The 18,673-nt window shown below is 37.9% G+C and overlaps 1 protein-coding gene across 11 annotated transcripts in view, besides 2 other annotated features; it reads left to right on the plus strand.

Annotated features, from left to right (window-relative positions):
* Positions 1–18,673, plus strand: part of CTNNA2 (catenin alpha 2) — a 1,463,404-nt gene that overhangs the window by 593,871 nt on the left and 850,860 nt on the right. The window lies entirely within an intron of this gene.
* Positions 2,664–3,289: an enhancer, noted in NCBI's record as "OCT4-NANOG-H3K27ac hESC enhancer chr2:80009037-80009662 (GRCh37/hg19 assembly coordinates)". NCBI's record gives its function as "activates a minimal SCP1, AML or CMV promoter by ChIP-STARR-seq in primed H9 embryonic stem cells {active_cell/tissue: H9 hESC(primed)}" and the evidence as "EXISTENCE:reporter gene assay evidence [ECO:0000049][PMID:30033119]".
* Positions 3,290–3,913: an enhancer, noted in NCBI's record as "OCT4-NANOG-H3K27ac hESC enhancer chr2:80009663-80010286 (GRCh37/hg19 assembly coordinates)". NCBI's record gives its function as "activates a minimal SCP1, AML or CMV promoter by ChIP-STARR-seq in naive and primed H9 embryonic stem cells {active_cell/tissue: H9 hESC(naive and primed)}" and the evidence as "EXISTENCE:reporter gene assay evidence [ECO:0000049][PMID:30033119]".

Here is an 18,673-nt window from a genome sequence, read left to right on the forward strand (position 1 = left end):
CAGCCAACGATAGATTGAAGCCTCCTGGAGTATCCAAGGGTGACTGGCCTCTTCAAGAGGTTTTGCAAGGGCTCATCCCCCTTCTCTGTTTCTGCCAGGCAGTGGGGGTGAGAGCAGGCCTGAAGAAAGACACCTGGATAATAGGTCAAGCATCCAGTGGGAGGGTGCGGATGGCCTGAGGTGAATCTACTGCCTGCCTAGAGCATATAAGTAGCAGATGGACTAATGGACACATGTCATTCTTTCTTTTCATCCTTGTCCTACCCTTATTAACTCTGACCTCTGTGCTTTTTACTTTTTTACTTTTTTCCCTATTGTTATTTTCAGATTTTGTGAAACATGGTCTCACTCCATACACTGAAATGTAAACAGACATTTTAGCAGCAGATAATTTTAATATGCTGGACTTTCCTAAAGTCTTTATACTACCCATGATGACCCTGGATGTATTATCCAAAGGAGGAAATGACCAGATGACAGTCACACAGAGAGGAGCCATTGCAGGATGAGCTTGAAAGTTCACCCTTACCTGATGATCATGTAAAATAAAAATAACATTCTAAGCCCCCCAGCCATCTGAATGGACCCCTCTTCCTCCTGGTCCAGGGCATTCCAAAGTTAACCTGAAAAACTAGTTCAGGCCATGATGGGAGGTGGGAGCCAGACATGCCTCATTATACCCGCCTGCCTTTTGAAATTACTGCTACAACAGACCCTAAGTCTGATAAGAGACACTTACAATCTATTATCTCTGAAGCCTGCACCTGGAGGCTTCATCTGCATCATAAAACTTTGGTCTCCACAACCCCTTATGGTAACCCAGACAGTCCTTTCTATTGGTAATAACTCTTTCAACCAATTGTCAATCAGAAAATCTGTGAATCCACCTAGAACTTGGAAGCCTGGCTTCCACTTGTCCTACCTTTCCAGACTGAACCAATGTACATCTTACGTGTATTAATTGATGCTTTATGTATCCCTAAAATGTATAAAACCAAGTTGTGGCCGGGCCACCATGGCCACATGTTCTCAGCATCTCCTGAGGGCTGTGTCATGAACCATTGATCAGTCATATCTGGCTCAGAATAAATCTCTTCAAATATTTTGCAGTTTGACTCTTTTTGTGAACAATCACATTTGACTACCAGACATCTGAGGAACTTTGGAGACCTCAAAGAATCTTAGAGATCTTCTAGCTCAGCAGTTTTTAAGGCTTTTGTCTGGGGAATACAGACCCCTCTGAGATTCTGAGGAAAAGGAAGGATTCTCTTTCCCCCACAAACATAGAGAAACACAACACACACTCAAACACATTACATACAACTTCAGTTTCATGAATTCCCTGTGAACCACCATTTAGTCTACTTTAAGAATGCCCGATCTCCTCTAATCCCCTAAATGGCCTAAGGAGGGTAAGGCATTAGCTAAGCAAGCAATCCTTTCTCTTACTTCACATAGGAAGACAGTGCCATCTATTATAAATTATGTTCAATTTCTGCACTTACTGTTTAGAAGTGTCTTTCTACTTCATAAAATTCATGCAACTTATACTTTGCTCATATTTGATTCAAATTTTTCTTTGTAAATATAAGGAAGCATTCAATATAGAGAAGAAGATTTAAAGGTAGTATTTTCTTTGTTTTAAGCACTGACTTATAAAAACAAAGTTTAAAAAAAGAAAAGTAATAAAGATGTCCTAGTATTACAGAAAAAGGGTTCCAATCCAGACCCCAAGAGAGGGTTCTTGGATCTCATGCAAGAAAGAATTCAGGTCAAGTCCATAGAGTAAAGTGAAAGCAAGTTTATTAGAAAAGTAAAGGAATAAAAGAACAGCTACTCCATAGACGGAGCCAGTCCTGAGGGCTGCTGGTTGCTCATTTTTGTGGTTGTTTCTTGATTATATGCTAGACAAGTGGTGAATTATCCATGCCTCCCCTTTTTAGACCATACAGGATAAATTCCTGACGTTGCCATGGCATTTGTAAACTGTCATGATGTTGGTGGGAGTGTAGCAGTGAGGACGACCAGAGATCACTCTCGTCACCATCTTGGGTTTGGTGGGTTTTAGCTGGTTTCTTTACTGCAACCTGTTTTATCAGCAAGATCTTTAGACCTGTATCTTGTGCTGACCTCCTATCTCTTCCTGTGACTTAGAATGCCTTAACCATCTGGGAATGCGGCCCAGTAGCTTTCAGCCTTATTTTACCCAGCTCCTATTCAAGATGGAGTTGCTCTCGTTCAAATGCCTATGACACTAGGAGCTTTAGTGTATAGCCCATTTGCCAAAAACAGTACAAGACATGCTCTTATGAGATGTTGCTAATTAATGGTTCCTTAAATATAATTGATTTTTATTTTTCACTTTTTGAAAGATCAAAAAGTATTTGATAGCTGCTTTATGTAAAGCTATCTGAACTGGAAGTAAACAAATAATAAAATGTAGCAGCTTTCTACAGAAATTCAAATTTAAGGAATCTCTGGGGCAATTATATGTAAAACTGATGATAATTTATATCTGTGTGTGTGTAAAATAACAATTCTGAAATGGCTTCATTTCAAAGCAAAACACACAAGTAGTTAGTCCAAAATCATACATTTCTCAAATTATGAGATCCAGAGAAGCTGAAAGACCCAATTTAAACAATTTAAACTCTACATAAGAACTGTGAAATACTTTCTCTTCTTTATTGTTTACTCAATAATCTAAAAATAATCAGAACTAGCTCACTAAATCCTTTTCCTTTTACACCTACTCTGTTTAGTTTAAATGGAAAAGGCTGAGATTTCACATTTGTACATGGATTTATAGTGCTTGAAGTGAAATAATATTTTCTGGTTTAGTGGCATTTATTGCTTATCAAATCTTTAAATTTTTTAAGGTTATATTTACAATAATTATGTTTAATTTTATATATAAAATGAAAATTAATAAGCAAACTTTGGAAGAGTTAGCCAACTTAAAGCACTATTGCTTGCCTTCTTTTATTTTTATATTTTATTTTTTTGGAGACTGAGTTTCACTCTTTTTGCCCAGGTTGGAGTGCAATGGCACAGTCTTGGCTCACTGTAACCTCCACCTCCTGGGTTCAAGTGATTCTCCTGCCCCAGCCTCCCAAGTAGCTGGGATTACAGGTGCGCGCCACCATGCCCAGGTAATTTTTATATTTTTAGTAGATACAGGGTTTCATCATGTTGGCCAGGCTGGTCTCAAACTCCTGACCTCAGGTGATCTGCCTGCCTCCACCTCCCAAAATGCTGGAATTACAGGCGTGAGCCACCGCACCTGGCCTGCTTGCCTTCTTTTAGATGTGCTCTCAACTTCAAGATTTTCTGTACCATTTAACTTGGAGGAAGATAAATTTTCTTATCTTCCCCCACAGATGCAGTGTAGTGATACTGGTTGTCTTCCTGCTTGGGCAGGATGCCTAAGTACTTAATTGTTCGGTCTCTACATAAGAATCACTTTGCTGAACAATGAAATGCAGCTGCCTCTAGGGTAGAATGCAGCAGCTATTGAGCAGCACAAGCCCTACTACCGGTCAGTTTGGGGCCTCGCAAGGGGAAGAGTGCAAATCCATTTCCAAAAAAAAGGGAAGAAATTGACAGCCAATGGAATTTTTAGTTTTTGCAAATTGGCTCTGCCCCACCAATATTCTCTTTTAGTCCATGTCATCTCTTTCATAAATTTAGTATGTTTTCTTCCTTCTTTCTTGACAGTCTTTTTTTTTTTTGTCTTCTGCCAGTTTTCCTCCCCCTTTCTAGTTAATTCCCCTAATTGTCAGCAATTGTGCTTAGTAATTTTTGGTTTCAAGTCAGCTCTCAACAAGAGTTGTCTCTTGAATATTTAGAATTAATCTTGACATTTTATGTCCCTCTGTGCATGCTGATGGAGGTTCTTTAACTTGCTGAGGGAGAACAAGTGGCTTATAGAAATCATAGGTCTGCCAGAGGCTGGAAACTGTGCCAATGGTGGCCAGGGACAGAATCAGAGTCTTAGAGAGTTTTCTAGTTAATTAGATTTGGTCACATGACCTTTGTGACTCAACCAATGGCAATAAATAATGAGACACACAATCCCAGGCCAGAAGCCTTCTGCTAGTATATCTAGTTAGCAGAAGTGGAATCTCTACTAGGATTATGACTGCAGGGCCTTCGTCAACTGCACCTTTTCCAGAAATCCCTCTTAAGCTTTCCCAATGTAAACTTATTTCTCTCTTCTCTGAACTTCTCTGGACTTCTTTTATTCTTTATACTTGGAAACTCATCACACATAATTGTGTGGATTCCTTTTGTTAAACTCTGCAGAGGAATCTTCAGTGGGAAGAGTGGCTTACCTTCTTATCCCCTAATTTTCACTCTGTCTTAATTTTTACATAAATTTGATCATTCTTTTCCCTACCATGTTCATCTCCAGGACTTCCCTCCCTTCACTGTCCTCCCTCTACTATGTTTCTCCATGTCTTCCCTGCCAACATGTATCTTCTCAAAATGCACACACATACATGCTTATCTCAGTACAGTTAATAGAATTTGTTCATTTTCCCAACTGGATTGTAAAGAGGGTTTCTTAACTTTCACAGATCTATCACATTAAATTGCCTACAGTTGTTACTAAAAACTCTTGAGATATATATGGAATAATTCATTCAACATTTATTGAGCCTTACTTTGTGCATTTCACAGCAGCTTCTTGCCAAGAAGAAACCTATGTATTTTGAAGTTCTGGTGTTAAACAACTGTATTTTAGCTTTATGATTAAATTAAAATGAGGATTAAGTTTTTCTTCTGCTCATATTGAAATAAGTGACTAGAATAGATCACGGTTTATATGGACAGGAATCTCACTTAGCAAACAGTAGGCTGATGATTGACAGCACCATCACCCTCTCCCTGTTCCTCAAACTCTACTTCCAGTGGTCATGTCTTAGGACAAGATACTTATTCAGAACCAGAGCTGGTTTTATGCTACTATTTCTTAATATTCCACAGGCTTATTGTTGGTTAAAGACCTGCATATTCAAATGCCTCTAAGTTAAGCTTGATGTATTCCCCAACTCTAAAGGCCGTAGTTCCCCTGGGCACAGTTATGACCACGGGAACTTCTCTTGTAACACTCAGCCTGCAGGTAATTTAACTCATGATTTTATGTAGCAGCTCTACCCTGGTGACTCTTGCATTTGAACCTTTGCCTGTATCTTTCCTGAGAACTACAGACTCACATATCCAACTGCCTACTAGATAGCTCTGTTGGGATGTCTAGGAGACATATCAAACTTAAGAAGTTCAAAGCCAAATTTCTGTTTTTTTCTCCCCAAACCTGCTCTTGCCCCAGTTTTCTGTGTATCAGTTGTAATTTCTCAGGTTGTATTTGGGGTCATACTCAACTCCTCTCTCTAATAACCCTCATCTCTTCTATCTTCAAACTCTTGGCTCTACCTTCAATATGTACTCAGAATTTATATGTAGAATGTAATATATTCAATTGATGGCATATCATGTAGCAGAGAATGAAATATATATATATATATATAAAAACATGGATGAATCTCATAAATGTAATGTTGAAAAAAAGCAGTGAGCCACAAATATACAACCTATGCTTTTATCTATATAAAGGAAAAAAACAGGCGAAACTTACTTATGCTATTAGAAGTCAGGTTGCCCGTGAAGCTTAGTGACTGGGAGGCATTGTATGGGAGCTTCCAGATGTTTACTTGGTCAAAATTAAGCTATATATTGATGATATGTGTACTTTTTTGTATATGATACCTATGTTAAAATAATATGGACATGTCTTTCTACCTCTCTGATCCAAACAACGCCATCTCTTAACCGGATCCTGGGGATGGCCTCCTATTTGCTTCTCTTTCTGCCACCATGCTCTCCTCAGTGTGTAGCCAGAGTGATCTTCTAATATGTAACTGGGTTTGTGCCACTTCTGTTCAGAAGTTGCCAATGGCTCTCCATCTTTTGCAAGGTGGAAGCCAAAGGCCTTACAGGCCCCACCTGTTCTGTTGTACTGTGCTTAGTTCTCTGGATTTACTTCCCCTTACTCACATCCCTTCTTTCTGGGCTCCAGCCACATTGACCACAGAGTTCATTGATGCCAACCATCTTTCATCCTCGGGACATTTCTGCTGTCTTGTGACCCTAACTTAACTCTGTCCCTAAATGCATTTAGGATTTTCTCCCTCGGTCCTTCTGATCTCTGCTGTAGTTTTTTCTTACCAGCGAGGCCTCCCATGACCATCCTGTATGAAATAGCACCTCTGCTGATCTCACCCATGTTAACACACTTTGCTTTTTTTCCCCACAGGAAAATGATTCTATGAAAAGCTGTATTTATAATTTGTTATTATCTGTTATTTTTCTATATTTTCCAGAATATTTAATCCATGGGGGCAGGGATATTTAGTGTGTGTTTGTTTGGTGCCTTCCTTTTTGTATTTTCAGTGCCTAGAGAAGTGCCTGACACACAGCTAGCTGGACTTTAGTGAATATTTGTTGAATAAATAAAAACAACTGGGAAACAGGTACTCCATTGTGATTGAGAAAATGAGCAAGAACTACAGTACTTACTAGATCCTATGATAGGGTATTTCTAACTTTGTAAGTATATCCCAAAGAAAAAAATGAAAGAAATAGCCACTTGCATGTTATTGTTTGTATGCTCTTCACAATTGCTATATACAAAGGCTAACAAAAGGGAAAACTCAGCTAAATGGTTCTAAATTGAGGGAAGAAGGAGGTGGGCAGGAGAGAAGATCCCAATCTCCTGTTAAGGGTGGTCTTGCATATTCCATAGGGAAACACATTGTTATTGATTGGAAGAGGTCTTATCCCATTTCCCATGTTGAAATATGAAAATGTTTGAAAAACACTAACAAGTGCTTCAGTGTGATTTAATACATATGGAAAACAGATGACCATGTTAACATGAAATGATATTTAAGTAGAAAAGCAGAATAAAGAATAGTAAGTAGACATGGTTTTTTTTTATTTTATTCATTAAAATTAATAAAGGTGGAAAGAATAATTTAATTAAGATATAAGTTTAATTTTTGACTCAAAATGCAGAACTTCAGCTGATAAATTTTCCAATAGAAAATGACCTTTTTCCCCCAATTTTATGCATGTACTATAAAATGTAAGGTAATGGATTAAACACATCCTACTTTAAGATTTACTGTTGAAACACACGTCTTATTTTTACCTCAAGAATAAATGAATTAAGTAAAGATATTTTTTTTTCTTTTTTGGATGTGTTGGGGGAATAGGCATTCTTTCCAGAAGAGTGGGCAGAGGTGAAACTAGTTGCCACACTTTAATTATAACGATAGTAGACTCTCCTCAGGTACGTTAGAATACACTAAGAAATTCAGCTAAGATTTACCTGTCTTTACACTGCAACACTAGAGAACTTTCTAGAGGAGTACCATCCCATACCTATTTAATTGTGATGCTTGCTAATATGTCATTCAGCAACAATTTCTTATAAGTACTCCCCAACCTGCTACTTTTTGCTTCATCTCCCATTGTCTAACAAATTTAATTTCCCAGGATTTCTCAACCTGACAATCCATTGTCACCAAATAAATACAATCATTCCTGCCTCTGAACTGTTTATCGATCTGGGAACTTCACTTTCCTCTTTTCTTACTTTAAATGCCCATTTTTGTCTTCAGGACATTGAATGATCCATCAGATCCAATCCCTGCCTTGGCATTATCTCCCCTATTATTCAATCCATGCCTTGGCATTATCTCCTCTATAATCTCACTCATTCCTGCCTCTGTGTTCTTCACCCTTACTGAAAACTCATTTTAATTAATTATAAAGAATTGTGTCCAAAACCAGTAAGATGACTTCCTTGAAACAGGTGCTAAATGATCCTCGCTTCAAAATAATCACCGCCTTTCTTTGCATTGCCATGATTTTAAAAATAAATTATATTATTGCACACTGTATTTACTTCATTTGCTTTTGTCTTTATATACTTATAACTTTTTTCAACTTTCTATTTTAGCAACTTCATAAAAAATCGAGACCATATGATCTGATCTTTATAGTATTAAAGTGCTATACAATTAGGGGAGCCCAGTGAGTTAGCTGAGACTTTTTGTAATACATAATGCAGAAGACACAGGGAGGAGTAGTAAAGATGAGCTTAGCAGGGTTGTTTGTGTTGTTCATAAAAGATGAAGTAAGCAAGTTGGTTAATTTAAAAAAAATTATAGTTATTATCATTGTGTTCATTTCCTATTGCTACTGCAACATATTACTACCCGCTTATTGGCTTAAACAATGTTAATTTATTATCTTATAGTTCTGAAAGTCAGAAGTTTAAAATCAGTTTCACATGCTAAAGTCAAGATGTTGGCAGGCTGGTTCCTTCTGGGAGGTGTCAGGGAGAATTTATTTCCTTGCCTTTTCCAACTTTTAGAGGCCACTGCATTCCTTGTTTCGTGGCCCCTTTTTTGCAATAGCATCACTCCTACCTCTGCTACCACTGTCACATCTCCTTTTATCTATTGATCCTCTTACCTCTGTCTTATAAAGACCCTTCCAATGACACTGGGCCCACCTAGACAATCCTGAAAATCTTCCCCTCTCCAGACCTATAGTTTAACCACACATGCACGGTGCCTTTTGCTATATAAGGTAACAAATTCTCAGGTTACTGGGATGAGGACATGGACATTTGGTAGAAGGGGCATTATTTTGACTATCACAATCCCTACTAGTGCCAATCTCACTCACTTAGATGAATGCGAAAGAAGTTACCCTGAGTACACTAGAGGGTATGTCCGACATGTGGATTTTATCACTAGTGCATGTCACTACAGACAAATAGTTTGAGAGCTTCTCTTTTGTGCCAAGGAGTTTGGAAACTTTATCTGTTAGGCATTGGTGAACTCTCAGTGCTTTCCAAGCAGGTGAAGAACCTGCTCAGTTCTATATTTTAGAAAAATAACTGATCACAGAATGAGGTTGATGGGAGCTCAGACTCACGTGGTGGAAAGCCTAAACTCAGAAATAATGGCAATGGAATTGGAGTGCAGGCAGATGTTGCAGAGACATTCCAGAGAGGATCCTGTGTGGACTTGGAAGTGTTTGCAGAGAGGTAGGAATATAGAGGATACCTTTTGAAGTTTTTAGCTTAGGTGGCAGCATAAGAAATGACAACATTAATGAATTTGAATAAATTCAGTTATAAATATCTATGAGAAATGCCTCTGTCAGTTTCAGAATCAGAGGTTGGCAGTCATGTTGCAGAAAACATACTGCACTCAGATTTACAAATATGTATTTTGGACTTAACTGGAAAGGTTAAGGGACACCTGCTTCCGTGAGAGGACTCCAGAGTGGTTGCATGCATGCATACATGTCCACATGCATACATGTATACCTACAAACATACATATGTATACATGCACATACATCCATGCACACAATTTACTGACCTTAGTGACCAGGGCATAATAGTATAAATCATCAAAACTTCCAGGTATCAGTGCTCTTTTGAATACAGATATTGCTTCCATTTCAGTCTGTGCAGGCTCAAGCTCATTTTATAATTTTGCTTTGCATACATTCCATACTTAGTCTCCTGTAAATGTAAAAGAAACACAAAGCAATTGGAAAAAATAAATCCTTTACAATGCGAAATCATGAAGTTGTTTCTTGCTCTCAAAGAGTTTAATGTCTAATGGTAAGATAAACATATGTAATAATGATACACCATGTCAGCTGTTAAAAATAGTAATAGCTAATGTTTACTAAGTTTAAACCTTATGAGCTCAGCACTGCTTAGCCTTTTAAATGTGTTAGCTAATTAAATGTTACAATCGTCATATAAGGTGGACATTGCGTGTAAAGTACACAACAGAGAAAAGGGTAACAGCTTTATTCTAGTCACGAGTCAAACCTGTGTGAGTCAGGGAAATGTTCCTAGAGGAGCTAGCCCTTGAAATGAGACTTCATGGATGAGGTTTTACAGGTCTATAAATGTGAAAGGCTATCAAAAGAAGAATAACATTGGAAAAAGCTGAGAGATTTGAGAAGGCACAATGTGTCAGGGAGTGATGAGTGGGCCAGATTTTAAAGTGCCAGAGGGAGAATGGCAACAGATGAGGCTTGCCAGAAACGGGAAGGTCAGCTCACAAAGGACATTGTGACCAGAGTGGAAGGAGTTTATTTTGTATGATATGGCTTATGGGAAGACAAATGACTTTGAGCAGGACAGTGAGCCAATTCGATTTGCATGTGAGCCGAGTTTTTATTGCAGAGGGAAAAATGCATCCCTTGGGGACTGGGGAGAGGTGAGGAAGCCAGGAATCATAATTAGCGCTCAGGGGCCTATTTCAGTAGTCTAGGTTAAAAATGATGAGAATTGTATCTATGTGGTAGTGCAAAGGACAAACACGTGGCACATTTTTACGGTAGAGTTGAGAGTGTGTGGTGAGTGGAAATGGGAAGTGGAAGGAAAATTGGGAAGTAGAGGATGGTGTCCAGGGGCCCCTCATCAAGACTGTGATGGTGAGAGGAGAGTCAAGACTTCTGGGAAGATGGCATATTAATATTTGGATATGTTGCATTTGACATGCTTCCTGGCTATCTGGGGAGAGGCCTCCATAGGCACTTGGCTATATGGGCCTGAAGCTCAAAATATATTTGGCCTAGGATTTGGCAATCTGTGATGAGAGTGGATATTAATCTTCTGGGAGAGAGTCAGCCAATTAGAAAAACAGATCATATGAATAAAGAAAAAGGCCAAGAAAGAGCACCTCAGGGAATATTTACATTTGGAAATGTACTTCTAGAGCAAATGAGAATCACAAATAGTGATGATGTAGTCAGCAGTACATCAGTAGTAGCTGAAATCGTAATAGTGGATGCAATATCTTACGTAGAATTTGTAGAAGCAGAGCAGTAAGTAAAAAGATACAAATGAAACGCTGGGGAAGAGGAAAAGAGGAATTTCCGCTAGGAACTGTTTAAGAGCTGTTAGGAAAATTACCAAGCCAAATGGTGTCAGAGAAACCAGTGAAGGGGAAAGGCACTAGAGAGAGGGAGGAGTTGACGATGTCAAAGGACGCAGAAAGGGTGAGTAAGGTAATACTGAAAATTGCTCTTTGCCAGTTAAGAGAATAATTGGTAACCTTTGTGAGAGTGATTGGAATATGGTGGTGAGGGTAAAATGCCAAAAAGAGTAGGTGTAGAGGTAAATGGGATTTGAGGGCTATATACTAATGAATTGAGGCGTAATGATTGTTGATTAAATAAATGACCTTCTAAGATCTTTTGAAACTAACTTCAGTGTAATGTTAGAAATACAATGGGGTTGTGACTTTTAAATGAAATTACTTAGGAATCAGAATGTAAGGCCAGAGAATAATTATTGGGACCAGGTAAATTGTAAGTAGAATTATCAGTTGGCTACCAGTTATACCTATCATTCAGTCTCCTGCTATTTTCTTCAACTTCCAGTTTTGAGTAAGTGTCCCCTGATCCAATCATAGTTATTGATGTCATTTAATGCCCCTATTATTGATCGTTACTTAGACTTATGCATAATAAGACATAGTAACCACTTTTGACAAGCCATAAATATTAGGGCCATATAATTATTTTCACCTGGCTTATTCCTCAGAAGTAGAAATTATGAACCATTTTGCAGATCATTTAGAACATAGAGAACATATATTAGCTAGAGCTGATTAATTAAACCTTTTGTAACTTTATTTCCTAAGAGTTGAATGAGTCATTTATTTTGAATTAGTATAAACCTACTTGTATTCAACTTTTGATTCATGGCTTACAAAGTATGAATAGATTGGGCACAGATATAAAATTAGCCCAGTGTACTTATTGGTAGATTTCAAAAACTATTTAAATAATATGTTTAGCCCCTACATGAATTAATAGACATAAAAAAGGCCATTCAAGATCTGTTCAATGGTTGTCACTGAATGTTGAGATGTTAACAGAGTGGGAGGTTGGCATTTGAGCTGTGGAACAAATAAGAATCTCATGAGATCCTGAAGCCCTAAAGATGAATCCAGTTTATTTTTCCCATTTCTCTCCCAGACATGCCTCAACCGATCCTTTTTACCTCTCCTTTCATCCTTCCAAGCCCCAAATATTTTAAAATAAAGAAATGGATTTACATATAGAGACATGTAAACAATAATAATGGGTTAGGATAATGTATTGAGATAATGTTTGTTTCATCCTGCCTGCATCTTCTCTTCTCCATTACAAGAAGGTAATTAAGCCTCTGTGCATAGTTGCTTCAGGGGTAGCCTTTGTTAGGTAGGATTTTTATTTTATGAAAACATATACTCCTTGAAAGAATCATGCTAGTGGAGAGAAGAAAATGGGGAGAATATTACTTTTGAGCTTAGAGGAAGTAGAAAGAAGTAGGAGTATTCTCCAAGACTGGGAAGTAGATGGAGGACTGGGTGTTCCACAAAGACCAAGCCCATGGCTGTGCTCTAGCAGGATCACAAAGGAGACATCCTCCAGGTACTTCTAGGGGCTGCAAATTCTCAGCATTCAGAAAAATTCAAACCCATGTGCAGCAAGGGATCATGTGTAATTTGGACAATGAGCTGTCATCATTCTCAACCATCTACCAGAATCTCTACCTTAGGTATAGTAAAGACACCTGTATTATTTGTCACTCTACGGAGAAGGACAGGTGGCCTCCTGCATTCGTAATTGAATTTCTTAAGAGTCAGGTGTAAATAAAATTAAATAATATGACATTTTTATACAATGCAGTTGTGGATGCAAATACCAACTAGTATAATTCTTCCATTAAAAAATATATTTTGAGTTCTAATCAGACCTATTCTTTCTCAGCTCTGGAAATATAGCCGTGTAGGTGACTGGTATGTTCTCTGCTTTCTGAGGTCTTGTGTTAGATACAGTTCTCTATGGATCTCTCACATTTCTGCACATTGTGTGAGCAGAGGCACTGGGTACTCTTTGTACCTGACTAGCTTTTCAAGGATGTTTGCATAGTAAACAGCCTTGGAAATAAAGATAATGTCTCCCTCTGGAGCAGAGGACAGACATGTTTGCTATCCATAAAAAACAGTGTTTCTCTAAGCTCAGAGTTCCTTTCCTGTAATACAGACTACTGTGTGTACAAGCATCCACCTCTGCTCAGCCTTGTTGCCCCACAAAACTGTGGCAGGCTGACTTTTTAGCTTGCAGTGTAATGTCTTAGATCCTGTGACATGCTGGATGAAGGAAGGCCTTGTGTCTGGATGTGTTCTTACAAGTTCTTTCTTACTTTACCTGCCTCATTGCTTGGCATTGATTCATTCCAATGAGTTGCCCCTACCTTTTTTGGGAAAAAAAAAATTAAGCTTGTGAAGTTTGGAAATAGTGAAGAGATCTCAGACTTTAGGATCACAATTATTGTCCTAGATTGAACATTTCATGGTTTTGTGATATTAGAAAAATCACTTACCATTCTGCCCTCAGTTCCTAATCAGTAAAACAGAGATGAGGATACTCATGACATTGTCACTTGTGAGTACTCAACAAAATGACACATTTCTGAAATCCAAAGAACCTGATCAATGATAAAAACGTATATATGCAAAATATTTATTTCTATAATACCTATACTAAACAATGCCTTGTAATTTTATAAGTCATTTATTACATAATCCAAATTCATTGGTTCTTGTACTACATTTGTTCTTCTACTTAACAGAAATCACTGGAACATCTATGTGCTAAGCTGTATCAATATTTTATGCATTATATAGAGAGAATTTTGGATGGTATGTATGTTTAGTATGATGCCAATCCAGAGAATATGGGCCTAAGTGGAATATCTCTGGTGAGCAGCATGGAGACATTGAAATGGAAGGTGATGAAGGAAAAAAGAGAAGCCTTGTGTTAAGAGCTCTGCAGCATGTGCAGTATTGCAGTGCCAGCAAGCTAACTTGCCAGTTTCAGAAAAGCTGGTAGATGACATAAGACTGCATCAAAAACAAATGCCTTTATTACTCACAGCGCAGAAAGCAGTGTGAGTCTCAAATTCATGTTGGATCCCCTTACGCTGAGTCCCATGGGGGTGAGACAGAGCGACTCATGTAGAGCTGGGCATGCAGTGGGGCTGCACCCCAACTGAGGGTACCTGAGCCACAGGAAGCTTTATCTTTTATATTGGACAGGAAACACCCATCCCTGAGCTAAAGGAACCTGAATCTTTTACTTTGAATAGTAAACATTCCCCTTAAGGGAGATGTTATTTTTATTATAGGAAGTAATAAGTAAAGCTGGCCTGTACCCTCTCTATCTTCCAAGGTTTTCATTATGCAAACATCTGTGATAAGAGAGTCTCGAATAAAGGGGCAGTTAGTGCATATGCTCACAAGATGTGCAAAAAGATCGAAGACCCATATGGATAATCGCCACCCAATATCCAGGTGAAGGGGAGGCATCTTAAAGTAAATCTTAGCCTCCTTCACCATTAGGTCTTGGGCCAACCCAAATTATAGTGCAGAAATTACAATACATAATCAGATTTTATTATTGCACAAAAATCACTATTCTTCATTTTTCTTTTCATTTCTTTTTCCAACTTTCCCCAATACCACACACACACACACTCATGCACACACACACACACACACACACACACACACAGAAGAAGGAGATAAAACATACAAGAATAAGAATGATACAATGGACTTTGGGGACTGTGGGAGGAAAGGGTGGGAAGGGGGTGAGGGATAAAAGACTACAAATTGCGTTAAGTGTGTACGATTCAGGGATGGGTGCACCAAAGTCTCACAAATCGCCACCAAAGAACTTACTCATGTAACCAAATAACACCTGTTCCCCAAAAACCTGTGGAAATAAAAAAATAAAAAATAAAAAAAGAAGAGGAAAGAATGAGAAGGAGGTTAGGAGAGAAAGAAAACAGGACTTCAGAGAAAAGTAAATGAGAAAGCAGATATAGGGATTTATGGTATTTCATCATGGCTTTAGACATCTGTTAGGTTGGTGCAAAAGTAATTGTGGTTTTTGCCATTATTTTTAATTCTTTTGCCTTTACTTTTAATGGCAAAAACAGCAATTACTTTTGAAGATTAGAATGCTTAATATGAACCTCAAAGTGAGTATTTATTTATTCATTTATTACATATAAAAAGCTGTACATATATAATGTATACAGCTCTGAGCTCTGGGATAAGTAAACATCTGAGAAACTATTACCACCATGAAGGCCATAAACATACCCATCACCTTCCAAAGTTTCCTCCCTGCCTTTTCTTTCTTTCTTTATTTATTTTGCAGTAACAAAACTTATCATAAGATCTACCCGCTTAGCAAGTCTTAAGCGTACAATATTTTATCATTAATTATAGGTTCTATGCTGTACAGTAGATCTCCATAACTTACTTATCTTGAATAACTGAAACGTAAAGTGAGCATTTAAGTAATATACTCCATGAATAAGAGTAAGTATGTACATTCTGCCAAGATGTAATAGGTAGGATAAATCTACCTTGCTTGAAACCAAAGTCTAGTATATCTTTCCATGCATATTGTCTTCAGCATCTTACTTCAGGCTCCCTCTTCAGTTGACCATTGAGAATGTGAGGATATGGAGCCGTGCGGTTGATTTTCATGTCCTATACCGGAACAGGATAGGCACAACCTTAATATTTGTAGGGCCCAGGACAATAGTACAACTGGAGGCCTACCTACTATATGTCTAAATATTTTATGAATCAGTCTAACTGTGAATAAAAATATGTTCTAGCCTCATCTTGACAAGCATACTGTCACAATAGTGAAAAATATGTGCAATGCTATACTATTTCTATGACAGAAAGTCAGCAAAGTCTCAGGGTCATCTAACTTTAAATATGACTATCCAGTTAGGTGTTCTGTTGATGGGATGCATAAGAAATAAAGTCAATTTATACAAACTATGATATCTTTTTATATAACATTGACTTTTCTTGCCTTCATTTCAGCAAAATTGTATATTATGTTATTAAAGATTCTTACGTAATTTGTGTTGTGTTGAGACTAATTGTCTTAAAAGATTTAAAAATATAATAGTAAAGTACACAAACTTTAAATATATTTTCCAAAAATCAAAATGAATTACTATAAAAATTCAAAATATTTTTATGTATGTGTTTAAAAGTTATTTTTTATAAATATTTTAAATTAGCTTGCAAAATTTAAGGGTATAAGAAAAATGTAATTAATAAATATTACATTTTTAAATCAATTGTATTAAATTAAATTTCATTTAATTTGTTTATGAAAAGAAATTATTAGCAATTGTACTATTAAATGACTTTCTAATTGCCAAAATAAAGGACTGTATCATGTTTTATACAGGCTACATTGCGACTCAAATATATGTACAATATGTACAAATTTAAGAATATAGTGAATTTAAGAGTACAGTACTGATGTGAGTGCTGCGATATTTTGTGTAGGACTCAGAACCACAGTTTGAAAGAAGAGACATAAAAAGGGTTACTCAACACTACTATGAGAAAATGCATTTCCATGCAAGAATCTACTGCATTCATTAGTCTTTTCAGTGAAATAAATGCTTCTCTTCAAATCTCCTTGTCCTCGGGTGAAATGTCTGTCTTTAACAACACAAAAGAGTTCCTAGTATTTGGACTCAGTTCCGTTTTGTTATGAGGACATTGGTCAGTATGTCTGGAAACGGTTTCTCTGGGCCCTAAAATGTCTTAGTCATAAGAATGGATATTTAGGGCTGCAAGTTTCACTGTGCCAGTGCTGGACACACCAGATCCCAAGTGACAGGGATGCATCTGCTCTTTAATACATTTATATTTTGTATGTTTTTGATACTTGGGGTACTATAAAGGGGCCCTGGACAGGCACCCGTCTTAACACTGTTAGGACAGAGACAGACCTTGTCAAACAGGGAGAAAATTAGATATCCAATCTTTTCTGGAACTTAAGAAAGATTTTAATATTGTAATCCCTTTAACAGCTCTTTAAAAGTGGCCTAAATTCAGGAGAATGGCGTGAACCCGGGAGGCGGAGCTTGCAGTGAGCCGAGAGCCGCGATTGCGCCGCTGCATTCCAGCCTAGGCGACAGAGCGAGACTCCGTCTCAAAAAAAAAAAAAAAAAAGTGGCCTAAACTATGCCCAAGTTGGTGATATAAATATATGCCTACAACAGCAACAACAAATAGAAACAAAAACACATAAACAGAAAAGGAACCCAGCATATACACTTCGTGAGAACTGACTCCTGACCACAAGCGGGGCATACAACCAGATTGCCTTAAGGACACATGGAGGCAGGCAGCATCCAACGGGCTCATCTCTGCCCATCAGATGGAGCTGTCAGATGTGTGATGGTTAGAATGGTTGCTTTTGGGCAGGTCCAGGGTTTCAAGCCAAATATGTGAATCAGGTTGGGAAGAAAAATGCATGTAGCAGCATCAGTTAGGTAATGAGAAGTGGCACAGTGTGATCAAAGCGGGTTACTAGGAATGCAAATGCAGATTTTTCCCTGTCCATGCTAAAAAGATGCAATCCACCCCGTCTTTATTATGCATTCCTGCTGTGGCCTGGAGTACTGTGTTAGCCCTCCAGGAGATGGAACAGTGCAGGGATGAGATAGATATGACTCATGAAGCTCAGTCTAGTTATGCAGGTTAAATTGATCACTTTCAATGAGAGTTGCCCTCCCTCCATAGAGGCACTTTTTCCTTTTTCACTTCCAGCTCTGTTGCCAAAATTCCCATTAAGGTCATTACATTATGTCTTTAAAAGTACCTTTCAAAATGCAAACAATGTATCACAATTGTAAAACATTGTCAACATAAGCTATTAATGCCAGAGTGGTAGGAAATAGGCTTTTTGTTGTTGTTTTTGTCCACAAAATATTGGAAGGACTAGAATGAGAAAGTACCTATGTAGACATCCAGTATAAAGTCAGGTGGAAGGTGGGTAGGTAGGATGTAATGGAAGATATGGAGATCACCAAAGCCCAAGCATGCAGGCCCAGGTGGTCATCTAAAATAAGCATGATTGGTCTCATTTCCTTTGTTTAAATGGGAGACTTCAGCTTTCTTAAAATTGAGTGGCTTGGCTGGGTGTGATGGCTCACAACTATAATCCCAACATTTTGGGAGGCCAAGGCGGGTGGATCACAAAGTCAGGAGTTCAAGACCAGCCTGACCAATATGATGAAACCTCATCTCTACTAAAAATATAAAAAAATAGTCAGGTGTGGTGGTGCACACCTGTTGTCCCAGCTTACTCAGGAGGCTGAGGCAGGAGAACTGCTTGAGCCCAGGAGGCAGAGGTTGCAGTGAGCCAAGATCACACCACTGCACTCCAGCCTGGGTGACAGAGCAAGACTCTGTCTTAAAAAAAAAAAAAAAAAAATGATTGGCTTAACAGAAAAATTGCCCCTGTTGTGTTTGTACATTTAGATGTTTTGATTTATGGAAATAATTCATGATGAGGAGTGAAACATTTTAAAAGTTTCCATTAAATATGTTCCAGTTTCCTTATTTGTAAAAGTTAATGGTTTATTATTAGATGCTTTAGGATTGCACTGTTCTCTGGGGTGGATTTTATTAAATGAATCATTTATTCTTCATTATTTCTTAATTTTTTTTATATT

Source organism: Homo sapiens, chromosome 2, assembly GCF_000001405.40.
Source record: "Homo sapiens chromosome 2, GRCh38.p14 Primary Assembly".
In the NCBI taxonomy this organism is placed as follows: domain Eukaryota; kingdom Metazoa; phylum Chordata; class Mammalia; order Primates; family Hominidae; genus Homo; species Homo sapiens.